Genomic DNA, 15,278 nt, shown 5'->3' with positions numbered 1-15,278 from the left:
TTCTCCTGGACAGCTTGGCTGATGGTTTTGTTGCATGCTGAAGGCCATATGGGGCTGTAGCCAAGCCCTTTGGGAAATGAGGCTGTTTTCAGACTTGAACCAAGGAGCGTAATTGGTAGATCAGCCAACTGGGTGTCAGTCTGCATTCTCAAAATGACACTTTTAGATCTTGGGCTCCACTAAGATTTCACAACTTCCAATCTGAATCCTAAGGCTCCAGCAGAGAGACCTTTGTCTGTGGATAAGTGCAAAAGTTTTGTTGTTGTTTGGGGATGTGAGAGGGTTACCTCCTATTCTGCCATTTTGCAGATGTCTACTCCTAATTTTATTTTTTTCTAATTTTTCACTCTGTTTTTCAGGGCAAATAAGTTGAGAATGTTTTATTCTCTTCTGATTTCTGAAAGGGTTTGTGAAAGATCTGTGTACTATGTAAATGTTTGATAGAATTCAGACAGTCTACCTGGATCAGGACTTAACTTGAAGGAAAGTTTATATTACAAATTCAGTTTCCCTCATAGATGTGGATCTGTTCAAAGTTTCTATGTCCTATTTGTCAGTTTTGATAATTAGTGTCTTTCAACAAATCTGTTTATTTTATTTAAGTTGTCAAACTTATTGGCATACATTTGTTCACAATATCTGTTAACCTTTAAATGTCTATAATATCTGTAGTGATGTCCTCTCTTTTATTCCTGTTATGAATAAGTAAATTCAGACCACTTGATGTTGTTCCAGAGCTCATGAAATCTCTGTTAATTTTCTCCAGTTCACCTTTTATTCTATGTGCCTCAGTTTGGATAGTTTCTATTGCAACATCTCCAAATTAACTGACATTTTCTTCTGAAATGTCTAATCTCCTATTAATTCTATCCAGTATGTTTTTTGAGTACTACTTTTTTTTTTTTTAGCTCTAGTGGTTCTTTCTGTTTTTTTTTTAATATTTCTTTTTCCGTCTCATTATGTTTATCTTTTTCTTTAAGTCCTTGAAACTACTTCTAAAAATTGTTTACTTTCATTATATTTGGGTGTATTTCTAGTGACTGATATTTTTCTTCTGTTTAAAATGAGTCCTATTTTCTTCACATGTCTGATAGTTTTTGGTCAAATGCTAGACATTATAAATACTATATTGTTGATGATATGGATATTTTTCTCTTTTAAAGAGCTAGATGTTTCTTGTTTGTTTGGAAGGCAGTTACATTACATTACTTACAGGTCCATCTAATTTTCAAAGCTTATTTTTTAGCTCTGTTAGGAAGGTTCTATAGCAGTCTGTACATTAGATCTAGTTTAGCCCTACTAAGATTTTCTTTTTGGAGTCTTTACTAAATGCACTGGGATTTAATTAAGTAGTTTTCATTTTGGTCAGAATTGAAACAACTTCCAGTCCTGTTTCAGCAACTCCCAGTGGTTGTTACTTCCCTGGTAGTTCCTTGTTCAAACTCATGGAGTCTCTCTCCTTATTCATGCTCAGCTTAGTGTTCAGCCAAAGCCTCAACTCTATGCATAGTTCTGTATTTCTTTATTTCTTTGTATATCTCTTTTCTGGCACTCTGCCTTTTAAATTCCAGCCGTGTTGACTTCCCCAAACTCTGATTTCTGTGTCTTCTGCTACATGAGACATGTTCTGCCTGGGCTTTGCATTTTTGCACTGTAGTCTAGAAAGTGCTTACAAACAGGAAGCCAGGGCAGTATTAGGACTCACGCTTCTCTCTCCTCTTTTAGACGTGTGGTGCTTGTTTGATGCCTATAAACTGTTGTTTCATGTTTAGTCCAGTTTTCTAATCATTTTCTATGAAGAAAATTCAGTAACAGTTACTGCATAATGGCTACAGGTAAAAATTAAAATTATCTTTTCAAAAATATGTACTTCTAATAATATTGAAATGTTTAATATCTAAGGGGGAATAAAACAGCTTAAGAAACAATATATTCCTCAACTAGCATAAGTAGGACTAACAATTTATTTGTATATTCACAAAAAGGAGAATATTCTATATATTTTGATATCTTTTCTATGAATATACACACTTGCCTCTTTTCTATGAATATATAAATAAATATACATTTATTAATGCACATTTATAATATACTTATATATTTATAAAACACATACTTTATATATAGATAATACATAAATATATATTATATTAATTATATATATATTAGTTAATATATTAATACTATATATGTTATATATAATTAATGATTGTTGGAATTGGTGGTAATATTTTTGTCTTTAGTTTATTTTGTAAATTTTCAATAATCAATATGCATTTATTTTTCAATTAGAAAGATATTTAAAAAGGCCCACGTAATAAAGAAGATAGTATAATGATAGTCAATGTCTGTCTTTGTATACCATTCACTTTTAATAAGTCCCATTAATGTGCCATTAAATTATTAAATAAATGTTTGCTGGACACGGTGGTGTACACCTTTAGTCCAAGCTACACAGGAGCCCGAGGTGGCAGGATCACTTCAGCCCAGGAGTTTGTGACCAGCCTTGGCAACACAGCGAGACTCTGTCTCTAGAAACAACAACAACAAACAAAACAAAACAATAAGTGCTTATTAATTTAAATTGTTGAGCTTAGATCAGTTTTTAATATGATAATGAGAAATTTCATGTAGAAATTTTCATGTTAAAACACACAAAAATTAGGCTTATTGATAATTTAAGATTTAATGATCATAGAATTTAGATTTGAAAGAAACTTCAAAGGATTATTTAGTTCAATCCCTGTAAGTAACTTATATCTAATTTGGTAAAGTGATTTGATGGAGGTCTGATAGCTAGTTAATGGCAGAATCAGAGAGATTTCCATTGTAGGATTTTTTGATACTAAACCATGCTGCTTCCCTCTTCTTTGAAATCGTCTGGAGGTGGTTTACAGGTTAATAGATGATTATAAAATTGAACATTTAAGTATTCAATAGAACGAAGACTATAAAGGAAGCAGGAGTAGATGCTACTGTTATCTAAGATTATGTAACTGGGCACAAAATTAAGTTTTCTAGTGTTGAGACAAAATTGGGAAAAACATTTCCTACTAGAATAAGCATGAATTTATACATTTATAGAGGCATGCATTTTTGGAATGTATTATAAACAGGATTTTACTGTGTGAAAATGCCCTCATACCATATATTTATAACAAATGAAATGACTCATTTGTAACTAACAGGATCAATTTAACACATTCATGTGCAAATGTCCCTGAAAGAATTCTTCTAAGTTAAACATCTGCAATATTATTTGTACTAATAATATGCTGAGCAAACCTTATCTTCAAATACTACAAAACAGTAAGCTCTAGTTCATCTCAGGCCAAAACATGAGAGAAATTCTGAATCCACTTATTCAGAATAAATAGTTTTTTATGAAGGGTAGCAGTGATTTCTATTTTGACATACACTAAATTCTCTTTGTCCACCCCTTATGTATCTTCCATATTCACATTTGCAAAGTTGGGCCAAGATGGACAAAGGCAACCCATTTTGACTGACCCCATTTTCACCCCATTGGCGTTTCCACTTTCTCACTTAGGTTGCCAAAAATATTTAGTCCTTGGAAGGAGGTTATAATTAGATTTGATTTTCCCTCTTATCTCAAGATACAATCAGTATTAATCTTATTATTCCTCTTATCCTAAGTTATTTCAATCTTTACATGAAGCCCAAGATTCCCAGATCATATCTTTGGCCTAGATTCTCCCCAGTAAGTTTCTATACTCTCCCTAATCTATCTCAATCTTAAACCCTTTGACTTTCTGAGCTGGTGTGTTTTTTTTGTTTTTGTTTTGTTTTGTTTTTTCTTTGAGGCGGAGTCTTGCTCTGTCACCCAGGCTGGAGTGCAATGGCATGATCTCGGCTCACTGCAGCCTCTTCCTCCTGAATTCAAGTGATTCTCCTGCTTCAGCCTCCTGAGTAGCTGGGACTACAGGCACGTACCACCATGCCCAGTTAACTGTTGTATTTTTAGTACAGACAGGGTTTCACTATGTTGGCCAGGCTGGTCTCAAACTTCTGGCCTCAAGTGATCTGCCCGCCTCAGCCTCCCAAAGTGCTGGGATTACAGGCATGAGGTACCACGCCCAGCCATCTCTGAACCCTTTTATTATTCCTATGAAAGACATGACTTTTCATGAGTAAAATCCCTATATCCTCACCCTCTTCTGTGAAAGTATCCTTACCTTCTCATACTAAAGCCTGATTGCTCCTTGAGGACACTGCTATGGCAGAAAAATGATTTCTTTCCTCTCTTACCTACCTGTAGGTGAGACTGGGTGGGGAGAGAATTAATGTTCTTCTATGTTGCTGCTTCCAGAAGCTTGTTTCTTTCTCCTCCATAGAATGCCCCAGATGTTCTGAATTTCATCTACTACAGCCACAGCTGCCACCTATGATCGTGCAGGGACACAAAGTTACATGCAACAATAATTTCCAAACTGAGGGATAAGATTTGGTGCAGAAGTGGAAGAGTTTGACTGAAATATGAACATGACTGTTCCTAGTGGAAAGATATGCTGTATATGGTGTCTATTGGTGGGAAAATGTATGAGTTCTCACCAGATAGGCCCTCATTTCTCTACTAAATAAGAAGCTGAGCATGTGAAGAAATAGAAATAGCCTGACAGGACCTTATTCCTTCACCTACAAAATGTCCTCATGGTTGTAGTCTATTCTATACTATCCATTTTCTCTAATACACTGAGTAGTTCTCATAAGAAAACAAAAATGTAATATATCTTATTGTTAAATCTTTCACATTACCATGAGGCTGAGTGAAGGGCATGTGGGATCTCTGTAATACTTTTGCAACATCTTGTAAGGCTAGTGTCATTTCAAAATTAAAAGTTATAATTATCACTTTTTCTGCCCAAATCCATGTTTCACTGCACCTTATTTTCCCACTCTTTTTATAGCCAATCTTCCATAAAGAGTTATGTATTTCCTCTTTATGTTTCTGCTATTCCTTCACTTTAGTCCCACTACTCTACTAAAATTGACTATGTCAATGTCTTGAATGACCACCTCATTGCCAAATTCAATCCATAATCTTCATTCCTTCTCCTAACCTGCCATTTGACTGCATTTGATGCAACTGACCATGCCACCCTAAAATCTCGCCTACCTGAACAGCAGAAGTAGAGGAGCACATCATAGCTCCTGGATGGAAGAGGTAGAAGACACCTTTCTGCCCTCAACATAAGAGGTAGAGGAGTATATCACAGCAAAGGACATTCGTGATAGAGGATCACCTCTTTTTCTTCAACCTCTTTTTTACTTATTTTGACTAAACATTGGAGTGCCCAGAGCTCAGTCCTCTGCCTCTGTCTATACTAACTATGTAATCTCACCCATTTCTGTGATTTAAACAAATATTTATAGGCTGCTGACTTCCAAGTTCGTATGTCCAGCCTCACATTCTCCCCTCCACTGCTGACTCTTGTTTTATCGCCCTACTCCACATCTCTACCTGCATGTGTCAAACAGACATCTCAAAGTAGACTTGTTCAGAGCACAGCTCTTGATTCCTCTGTTCCCTTCCTGCCTCACACTAGCTCTTTCCTCTGTATTCCTCTTCTCAGGAAATGGCAGTACCATTTACTGAGCTGGTCAACTCTCAAATCTAAAAAACATTCCCTAATGCAGATTTTTGTCTAACAAACCATATCATTCCATTAGGAAATTCTGTTGGGTCTGTCTTCTAAATATATTCAGAATCCTTCCACTTCTCCAACCGTGGCCTAAGCCACCATCATCTGTCATCCAGACTATTGCAATAACCTGCTAACCAGTGTTCCTGCTCTCCTCCTTACTCCCAGGCTTTTCTACTACAGCATTCAGAATGATCTTTTAAAAACATAAATCAGATCACACCAATCTTATGTTCCAAAATCCTCTGCTGAATTCTCATCTCATTCAGAATACAATCCAAAATCTTTGTCATAGACTAAAAATACTGACATAAAAGACCTCTTGGGTTAATTCCCTACCATCCTTCTTGCTTACCCTTACTGCCTCATTTTGCTGTTTCTGAAGTGTACTGAATACTGCCTTTCCCCAGTGCCCTTGTACTTACTGTTCCCTCTGCATGAAATGTTCCCCTTTCCCTTCTATCCCTGGTATCTCATTGTTTGTTTTCCTATTTCTTTAGTTCTTTGCTCAAATAGGGCCTTATCTGAGGTGGTTGGACCTCTCTAACTGCTCTCTCTATAAAAGAATACCCTCCCAATCTGGAACCCACTCTATTTTTCTATTTGCTTTATTTTTTTCAGACTGCTGATTATAACCTGATATTCTATATTTGTGTATATATATATATATAGTTTGTTTATTGTCTTCATTTCCTTTTAGAAAGCTCAGTGGGGATTTTATTTCATTCACTTTATTAAACCTAATGCTTAAAATTGTGCTTAGCATATAGTAGTTGCTCAATAAGTATTTTTGGATAACTGACTGACTGAAGAAATCAATGGACCTTATGGCCCAACTGTACCTTGAAAAGGTTAACTCTAACCTACCTACCTCTTCGTCTTCTCTCCTCTCCCCATATTTAACATGTTATGAACATCCAAATGCTATGCCAAGCATTGGTAATACAAAGGTAAAACACCTAATCAAATGAATACAACATGTTGTTAATTCTAACAATTCAACACAGTATTTGGGAAGCTCAGAAAAAAACAACTCATTCAGCCAGAAAAAATGATTCAAAAAACAAATACTTGGAAGACAAAGAGCTGTTAATGAAGATGACTATTGCCTGCAGAGAAAAGAGAATATAAAATGGGGTACAGTAAGGCAGTCTATCTGCTTGTTATGGTTTATAGGATCTCATGATGTTTATAATATTTGGGAAAATAAAATAAAATCAATGTTGAAATCCAAGAAGCCAAATATAGTTTGGTCTCTGGCCAATTTATGTATTTTTCTTCTCCTGCTTATCTTCATCATCCTTCTGCCTTCTATTTGTAGAGACTACTTTTCAAGGGACCTGATTTGGGAAAATTAATTTTCAGAGTCCGAAAATTTCAAAGTCATTTAGAGTAAAGCCCTAGGAGACGTGTATATTTAGGATTCCCTTTACTCATTGCTTTCAATATTGGTTATATGCTGAAAACAAAGTGTTCTATAAATAGTTTAGGGAGCTCCCCTGAAATTTTGTTAATACTTAGTGTAACAGATTTGGAACTCAATAATATTGAGTGCAGTGTGACAGTATTATGAAATTTGGAACAAAGTTTTATTCCTATGTTTCCTTACGCTACTTAACCCTTCTCCAGTTTGAGCACTTGGCCATTAAACTTTAAATGCTTTAGAAAGGGGTTTTATGAAGCAAGTGAAGAAAAAAGAACCATTTCTTCCTTTTTTATTGCTGAAAGCAGAGGCCACAAGGGGACACAGGGCCAAAATAACAGATTCAAAAAATGCATATGAAGGACTCAGAGCAGGGCTTCCTGCCTAGAGACAAATGTCACTTTTCCCAGATGGGTGTGGGAAGCGCCTTAGAAGAGAAACCAGGAGAGCTTTAAGTCTACTGGTTTATGTAAAGGGGTCCTGTGTACTACTCTCCACCTTGGTTGTGAGTCCTAGGGATTAGAGAGAAATGCAGACATCTTTGACAGTTTTTCAGAGCCAATAGTAGCAGAAACCTGTGCCCCTGCAGCCTGCTACAAGAGACAGAACAAGGTCAGTCATACATACGCTCATGGGTGACTTACAAGTCAACAGCATTTTAATTCCACATAATTTTCATGCCTAGTGTCATCTAGGAGCAAGAAAACGATGCCCATGTCCAAAGGAGGGGCACCAAAATCATGAGGGAAAAACCCCATGGGGCCATGGGGTTAGGCCTGCAAGACAGCACAACTCAGACCTACACGTCCCAGGAGGGAGCAGAGGAGATGAAGCTGCCATAGTAGATACCAGCATAACAATCCTGACACCAAGGACCAGATTAGATCTCCCCCTCCCAAAGTTTTGATCCCATGTGAAAGACCCAGGATTGAAATTAAAAAAAACAGGGGCAAATGAGGTTTTAAATTAGAAACAAATTCAGTGACAGAAAAAGAAAGGAAGATATACTTCTCACACTTCTGGGTTAGTGGGCTGAGAATTGCACTTGCCATATTTATTATTAGATACATGCTCATTGCCATAAGCAACTTTCTAAAATCTTATAAGATATGTCTATTTGTTATAAATCAAAATGTACGATGATTTCTTTGGGATCAACACAAAGGATAGTTGGGGTTTCCTCAACTTGCGTGATATGATTTATTATCTTTTTAAATCTGAATTTTAATGTTCTTAGTGGTATCTGAGAAATGGTAAATATTCTTGACAGAGGAACAGGCAAGAGTGGACACAGGAATGCAAAAGGCCTCTGAATGTTTTGCTTTTAAATGAATTTTAGGCATTTGCTTTGAATGGAAATGATATTGGATCTGCTGAGAAGATAATTCTCAAATTGACATCATTTAAAAAATTTAAAAAGTTACCACAGCTAAGCTCCTAGTTAAAAATACCAGTTGTTGAAGCTTGGAAGCATTTGTCAGATTTTAAGAAAAGAATAATTGAATACTTGAAGGGCTTTATAGCACAGACTTCAGCATATTATTAGTACTAATAATGCTCCATTTGAACATTGATCTCAGAGAAACCATCTACTTGGCAAACAAATCAGCAACTCCCATTACCAGAGCAGTTGTGATGAATGTCAGTGCCTGATGAGGCAGACTAATTTCCCATGAACACGTCATTAAAGCTGGCTCTATATGCAGTGTACGATGTCTCAGCAATCAAAGATGCTGTGGAGTTCCAAACATCTAACAGCAGCAGCTGAAATACAATTTACTTCTTACTAAAGGAAAAGTGATCACCCAGGCACAAAATCTAGTCTGTGGAAAAAGAAAACGAGTAGGATGGAGCCACTGGAGAGTCTCAGAGTTGCTTTGCTTTTCAAGTATTTCTCAGGACTCAGCTGTTATGATGTGCAGCTTGAGGTGATTTGTGACAGACTATTGAGGAGATTTGGAAGGTGTCCTCTAGGTAATTATGCAAAAAAGTGTGGAAATGTAAAAAACAGTCAAATGATTTCTATATGCTTCTAGTGTATTCTCATATATTGCCTTAATTTACAATAGCATCTACTTCACAGTATGCAACATATTAACTGGCTGAAATCTCTGGTCCCTGTGATTGGGACAAGAGAGACAGCCACATGAAAATCCGAAAAAACGCAAGGCTAGCATGCTGCTAACTCAAGAGAAAGTTACCTGGGAATACTTTATCAGAGAGGCTCATTGAGATCTATTACCATTTCCAAAGCTGCACCAAGAAAATCCACACTGTGCCTTATTGCTACCTTTTGCATTTCCTCATGCAGAGAATAAAATTTGTTGCTGTGATTCAATGCACTTATCACTCTTTCATTAAAAAACAAAAGGATTTCAAAGTAAGTCATATGCTTGAATTCTAGTAACTGTTATGGAATGACATAGAATAAAATTACAGGAAAGTAAGGTACTTTCATGTACTGAATACCTAACATGAGTCCCATCCTTTGCTAAATATTTGTATGCATTAATTCATTAAGCATCTGAAGTAGATATATCTTTTGCTTAGATGTAAGGAAAATGGATTTTAAAATGTTTCTGGTCACGTGGCTAAAGAATAACAGCATTGAGTCTTAAAGCAGGTCTTTGGACTCCAAAGTCCTTGTTAATACTGCTATGCCATGATCTTCCTTTTTTAGAAGACCAGGGAGTAGTAAATATCATGCTTGCTTTAACAGTGGAGCCACTAAGGTTAGGGAATGTAAGTACCTTAGGCTGCAGCATTAGAAGAGCCCAGTAGGAGGTCAGGCAGATGTTCAACTCCCGGGAACCCTACTGCCAGCATCTTCTCCCTGGTTGACATCTGTTGCCCAGATTGTTCAGGGGAACTCACATTATCCTTTGAGGGGGCCTCAGACATTGCCAGCTGAACAAAGAATGTAAAGCAAATTCATTAAGCATTTAAACACAAAACTAATGATGGAATAAGATACCATGTCTTTCTTTAAAACAAACTATGCCTAAGTAACCTGTGCAAGTACTTCCAGCAGGTAAAGAAACATGCACATAAGGAAGAACCAGTGGCCATAACTGAAGACGAATTTAGGCTTTCAAAAATCTTTCCCCAGTGAAAACTACTGGGCAATATAATTACCATAGCTTTTGTGGCCTATTTTACTATATCTGGAAAACTAGAACAAAGATAGAAAGCCAATGAAGGAGAGAAAGTGATACTTTATAGAATGGAGAAATGCTAGTGGTATAGTACACCAAGAATTAAAGCTTAGGAAAAGTTTACTTTCAAAATTGTATATATAGTCTTAAGAAATAAAAACCCCACATTCACATACAACAGATTCTAATTAGAAACATCAAGATAACAAAGAAGCTGGTAAATTTCTCCAAGATTACGGGAATGGGCTAGAAGATAAAAGATGAATTTCAAGTGGTCAAGAAGTTAGTAATATATATTACATAATTCACTGAATATCTATCATATTTTAATTTCTAGGCCAGACCCTAGAAATAAACAAAAGGCTCCAGCAACACAGTAAGTTCCTGATCCTTGGTTTGTAAGTGCAGTGCCATCTGTGGTGCCAGATATTTGAATAAAGTGGATAAAATTTCTTTACCTTGTAAGGCATATTGTGTAGATACAAAAAACTATAATATAATGCAATAAACACAAGGAGAGAAAAAGAATGCTTTAGCACAGGGATTCTCTACTTTAGCTTTATTTTATTTATTGTTTTTGATATGAAGTTTCACTCTTGTTGCCCAGACTGGAGTGCAATAGTATGATCTTGGCTCACTGTAACATCCACCTCCCAGGTTCAAGGGATTCTCCTGCCTCAGCTTCCTGAGTAGCTGGAATTACAGGTGCCTGCCACCATGCCTGGCTATTTTTTTTTTTTTTTTTGTATTTTTAGTAGAGACGGGGTTTCACCATTTTGTTCAGCTGGTCTTGAACTCCTGACCTCAGTTGATCCACCAGCCTTGGCCTCTCAAAGTGCTGAGATTACAGGTGTGAGCCACCGCGCCCCGCCTACCTTAGCTTTATCGACCATTTAAGCTGAACAATTCTTTACTGTGGGGGGCTGTCTTGTGCATTGTAGGATGTTTAGAAGCACCTCTGGCCTCTGCCCACTAGATACCAGTAGTGCCTCTTCTCCCCACCCCCAAGTTTTGACAATCAAAAATGTCTCCAGATATTGCCAGTGTCATAAAGGATGGATGCACAATTGCTTCAGCTGTGTGAACAAGGGGCATCTAATGCAGCCCAAAGATGGTGGTGGTGGGGGGTGTAGTGCAGGGGAGTAGAAGAGGAGTGGGAGGCTGAGGGAAGGTTTTGGAAATAATACCTAAACACAGTCTTTGAGAATGAGTAGGTAGTAGCCAGCCAAAGGCAAGACATGCCATCAGCATTCATAAAGACAAAAGGAAGAGAAAACCATGGCTCCCCAGTTTGGAAATTCAATTTGCTCTATGTCACTGAACATTTATTGAGTGCCTACCATATGCCAGGTGCTGAGAATGCAAAACTTCAAAGGAGCTCACAGTCCAGTTCAGCAACTCTCAATCTCATCTCCCCACAGTTACGTATTATGTGATATTGTGATCATTTGTGGGATTTGTCTTACATAATTTGTTACTAATATTTGTCTTTTAAGAAGAGTTAGGGGATGGTTTGCTATTATCAATAATTAATCCCTAAAATGAAATCATTTTCATTCACTGGCATTCTAACACTTGTTTTGAGTGATAGATAAAGCGGTAGCAATAATAGAAGACTGACTTGTAGGGCAAACCTGCAGTTCATCCTGCTTACCTTGCAGCTCAGAAATAGTTGTCCAAGTGATTCTTATGCATTTTGGTGAATGAAAGCCTAAGATCTGTTAAACTAGAGAAGAGAGAAGTAAATGAAATTGAGTGTGATAAATGCACTCATAGATTTTTGACATTTTTTTCTTGAGTTTTTAATCTCTTCTTTGGGCCTCCTTAGCATCATCTTTCCTAGTGTGCCTTCTTTCTTTTCAGCTATTTTCTATGTCAATTTCATTTAGTGTCTTCTGTTGTTCTGGTCAATGGAAAACTTTCAACATATGTTTTTTGAGAGCCTACTGTGTGGTGGCCACTATTTTAGACAATTTTTGGTTTTCTCAGGTATGCATATATTTAATAACGTATATTGGTAGCTTTCAGTAATTCGGGAGTGAGATGAAGACTATAAAAAATTATATGGGCTTTATTTTGTTTGGTTATTGCCTTTGCCCTCTCTTACATTCCCTTGAATGAACATGGTGCCATGATCAAAATCATCGAGGAGGAAAGGACTGGTGGTGAGGGACATATGCCTTATGCTTCTAGTATATTCAAAACAACAACAACAACAACAACAGAGAGAGAAGGGGTTTAGAATCTTAACTGTTCAAAATATTCTTACTGAGCAATTATCCAAATGTATGACTTCAAATACCACCTATACATTGGTAACTGTGATTCTCTTTGGCATGTCTAGACTTTCCTCCCAAGCCCCAAAGCCCTCTATATAACCCCTTGGATATCCCACAGGCACCACACACTCAGCACATGTTAAGGTAAATGTGTTTGTTTATTCCCCCAACTTTCTGTCTCCTCTTGTAGTTTCTACATCAGTAAAAGTCACAACTCTCCATCTAGTAACTCAAGACAAAGATCTGTTCATTCTAGATTCCATTCTCCATTGGCACTAATTGTAGTGAGTCACTAGGCACTGGGTTTTCTTCTTCGACAGATTTTCTATCATTACAACCTCTTTCTCTTTCTCATTGACTGATTTTGTTGATTCCAAACTACCTTTCTTCTTCCAGTCTTCCACGCTGTTTTTAAACAGTCAGATAAAGCTACATCCTTGCTTAAAATCTTAAAATTCCCCAAATATCTCCCACAACTATAGAATAAATTTATCCTTTTTATTCAAGCCATTACTCAAGTTCTCTTATATTTTATCATTCATATTCATTTATCTTCCTTCAAGCTCTAGACCACAAACTTGGCCTAAATCATGATCATATCTTCCTGGGGCAAATGAAAATTCTTGCTATTGTTCTTTCTGTGGTCATTCTTGCCTTCTCATAATTCATTTTCCACATAGTATCCAGTAAAATCACTTCAAAATATCACTCCTCTGTACAACCCAGATAGCATCTCTGTGAACTAAGGACAAAATACAATCTTTAACATGCCCATGAGACCCTGCGTGGGTGAGCCCCTCCTCGTTATTCACTCTGACCTCAGCTTGCTCCCAACCATGCTCAGTGTGCTCCCACCACAATGGCCTCTTTCAGGTCTGCGAATGTGCCTGGTTCCTTCTTTCCCCAGGGTCTTCCCACACTCTGTTTTTCTTGCCTAAAATGCTCTTCCCTCCACATTTTCCCTAGCTAAGTCTTACTTATCTTTTGAGTACCTTCTTACTGAATAACATGGTTTTTCAAAAATGCCAGGCTATTTATGTCACCCTTCCTTGCTATTTTTATTTTCTTAGTATAAAGTAGTCTTTCTCCTATCCAACATTGCCTTACCCCGTCGTAAAGAACTCAGTTCATGAGACGTTTTCTCATCTAGGAACACATTCTGAAAACCTCAGGCTGATTTGCATAGCTCTCCTCCATGTTCCTGTGGATTGTGATCTAACTTTGTCCACCTCATTTCAATTAAAGTCTTCTGAGTGGATTTTTTTCAGTATTGAATTTCTCCTTACTAAGGAAAATATTAACCAGCCATATTGATTCAGTAAATAGTTCAGTAAGAATGCAGCGCTGAGTTTCTTGGGAATGGAATTTTAAAATTCCAGGCCAACCTGAAGTCAGAACATTCCTTTTATCGCTCAACTTTAGTAATTTTCCCCAGTGACCCACAGCACAACAAGTCCTAATAATCACTTGCTTAATTGAACTTATGTCCCTTTGGAGTAAAATTAATTTGGATGAATCTGAGTTTTGCTAGATTTAAGTATTCCTTTTGAGATCTGGAGAAAAGTTATAGGAGAAAGGGTTGGGGGGAACCTTTGTTTTGCTTATGTTTATAATCGTTCTTATTGCAAAAATGTTTGCTGGACCAACTGGAAGCAGCAGTGTTCGGAGATTCCATAATAAGCATGTGAATCCTTCACCAAGGTGTCCAGGTTCTCTCATCAAAATTGACTAGAAGGCTAGCGTGACCCATGGAGAGAAGGAAGAGCAGTGAGGTGTGGTGGCCCACCTGAGAGCCACATGGGAAAGGGGATCCCCCTCCCCACAGCCAAGGGAGGCCATGAGTAAGCGTGATACCCATCCAGGGAAACTGTGCTTTTTCCATGGAACTGTGCAACTGATGGATTGGAAGATCCCACTTGTAAACCCATGCCACCAGGGCCCAGTGTCCCAACCCTGGAATGCACAGATGCTTACAGCCTCTCAGCTGGAATCTGCCTAAGCCTTACTGAACTCCCGGGGGGAGGGATGGCGAGCACCAGCTGGAGCTGCCTGCTGTCTAAGCAGTTTGAACTCCTTGGGGAGGGGCAGCAGTCAGCACTGGGACTTGCAACTGCCTAACACACTAAGCTTCCTGGGCAGGGGAAGGGCGGCACCCATTTTGATAGCTCCAGGCCGTGCTTTTCCCCTGCTGGAGCCAGGGGGGCTGGATGGCTTGGTCCCAAGATTTGTCCTCACAGCCCAATACACTGGCTGTTGCAGTCTGCAGCATCACTTCAGGCCTAACATGAACCCATTCTTCCTCAGTGGGTGGAGTTTCCCTGCAGGATCTCCAGTAACTACAGCCAGAGCTCAGGGACAGAATTCGGATCCCCCTGGGCCTGAGCCCCTAGTGGGAGGGGTGGTTGCAGTCTCTGTGGACCAGCAGATTAGCCTCTCCCCCTGGTAGTTCTGAGGAATCTGGGCAGCCCAGATGAGTGGGTTTCTCCCCAGCGAAACACACCCTCTCCAGCAAGGGACAAAGTGCTTTGTTAAACAGGTCCTGCTCCCCATGCCACCCAACTGGGTGAGACCCTCCATTTGTCAGACACCCTATACAGGAGTGATCCTACTGGCATCAGGTTGGTGCATCTTGAGATCAGAGGTCCCAGAAGAAAGAGCGGGCACCCATCTTTGCTGCTCTCCAGCCTCCTTGAGTGACAACTTCAGGCATGGGAGAAAATCAGATAATTAGGGTCTGAAGTGAACCCCCAGCAAACTG

General features: G+C 38.3%; 1 long non-coding RNA gene across 1 annotated transcript, besides 1 other annotated feature; it reads right to left on the bottom strand.

Annotated features, from left to right (window-relative positions):
• Positions 1-2,260: 2,260 nt before the first annotated feature.
• On the bottom strand, positions 2,261-13,716 carry LOC105371680 (uncharacterized). Its single transcript, XR_922402.2, has 5 exons — positions 13,628-13,716; positions 11,896-11,967; positions 9,837-9,993; positions 4,274-4,403; positions 2,261-2,531 (listed from the first exon to the last, which is right to left on the bottom strand). It is a non-coding gene; the product is annotated as an uncharacterized LOC105371680 (long non-coding RNA).
• Positions 14,168-14,668: an enhancer, noted in NCBI's record as "H3K4me1 hESC enhancer chr1:199417155-199417655 (GRCh37/hg19 assembly coordinates)". NCBI's record gives its function as "activates a minimal SCP1, AML or CMV promoter by ChIP-STARR-seq in naive H9 embryonic stem cells {active_cell/tissue: H9 hESC(naive)}" and the evidence as "EXISTENCE:reporter gene assay evidence [ECO:0000049][PMID:30033119]".

This window comes from Homo sapiens, chromosome 1 (assembly GCF_000001405.40).
Source record: "Homo sapiens chromosome 1, GRCh38.p14 Primary Assembly".
Classification (NCBI taxonomy): Eukaryota; Metazoa; Chordata; class Mammalia; order Primates; family Hominidae; genus Homo; species Homo sapiens.
The sequence above is the reverse complement of the archived record's forward strand: the minus strand, read 5'-3'. Positions and strand labels throughout refer to the sequence as shown.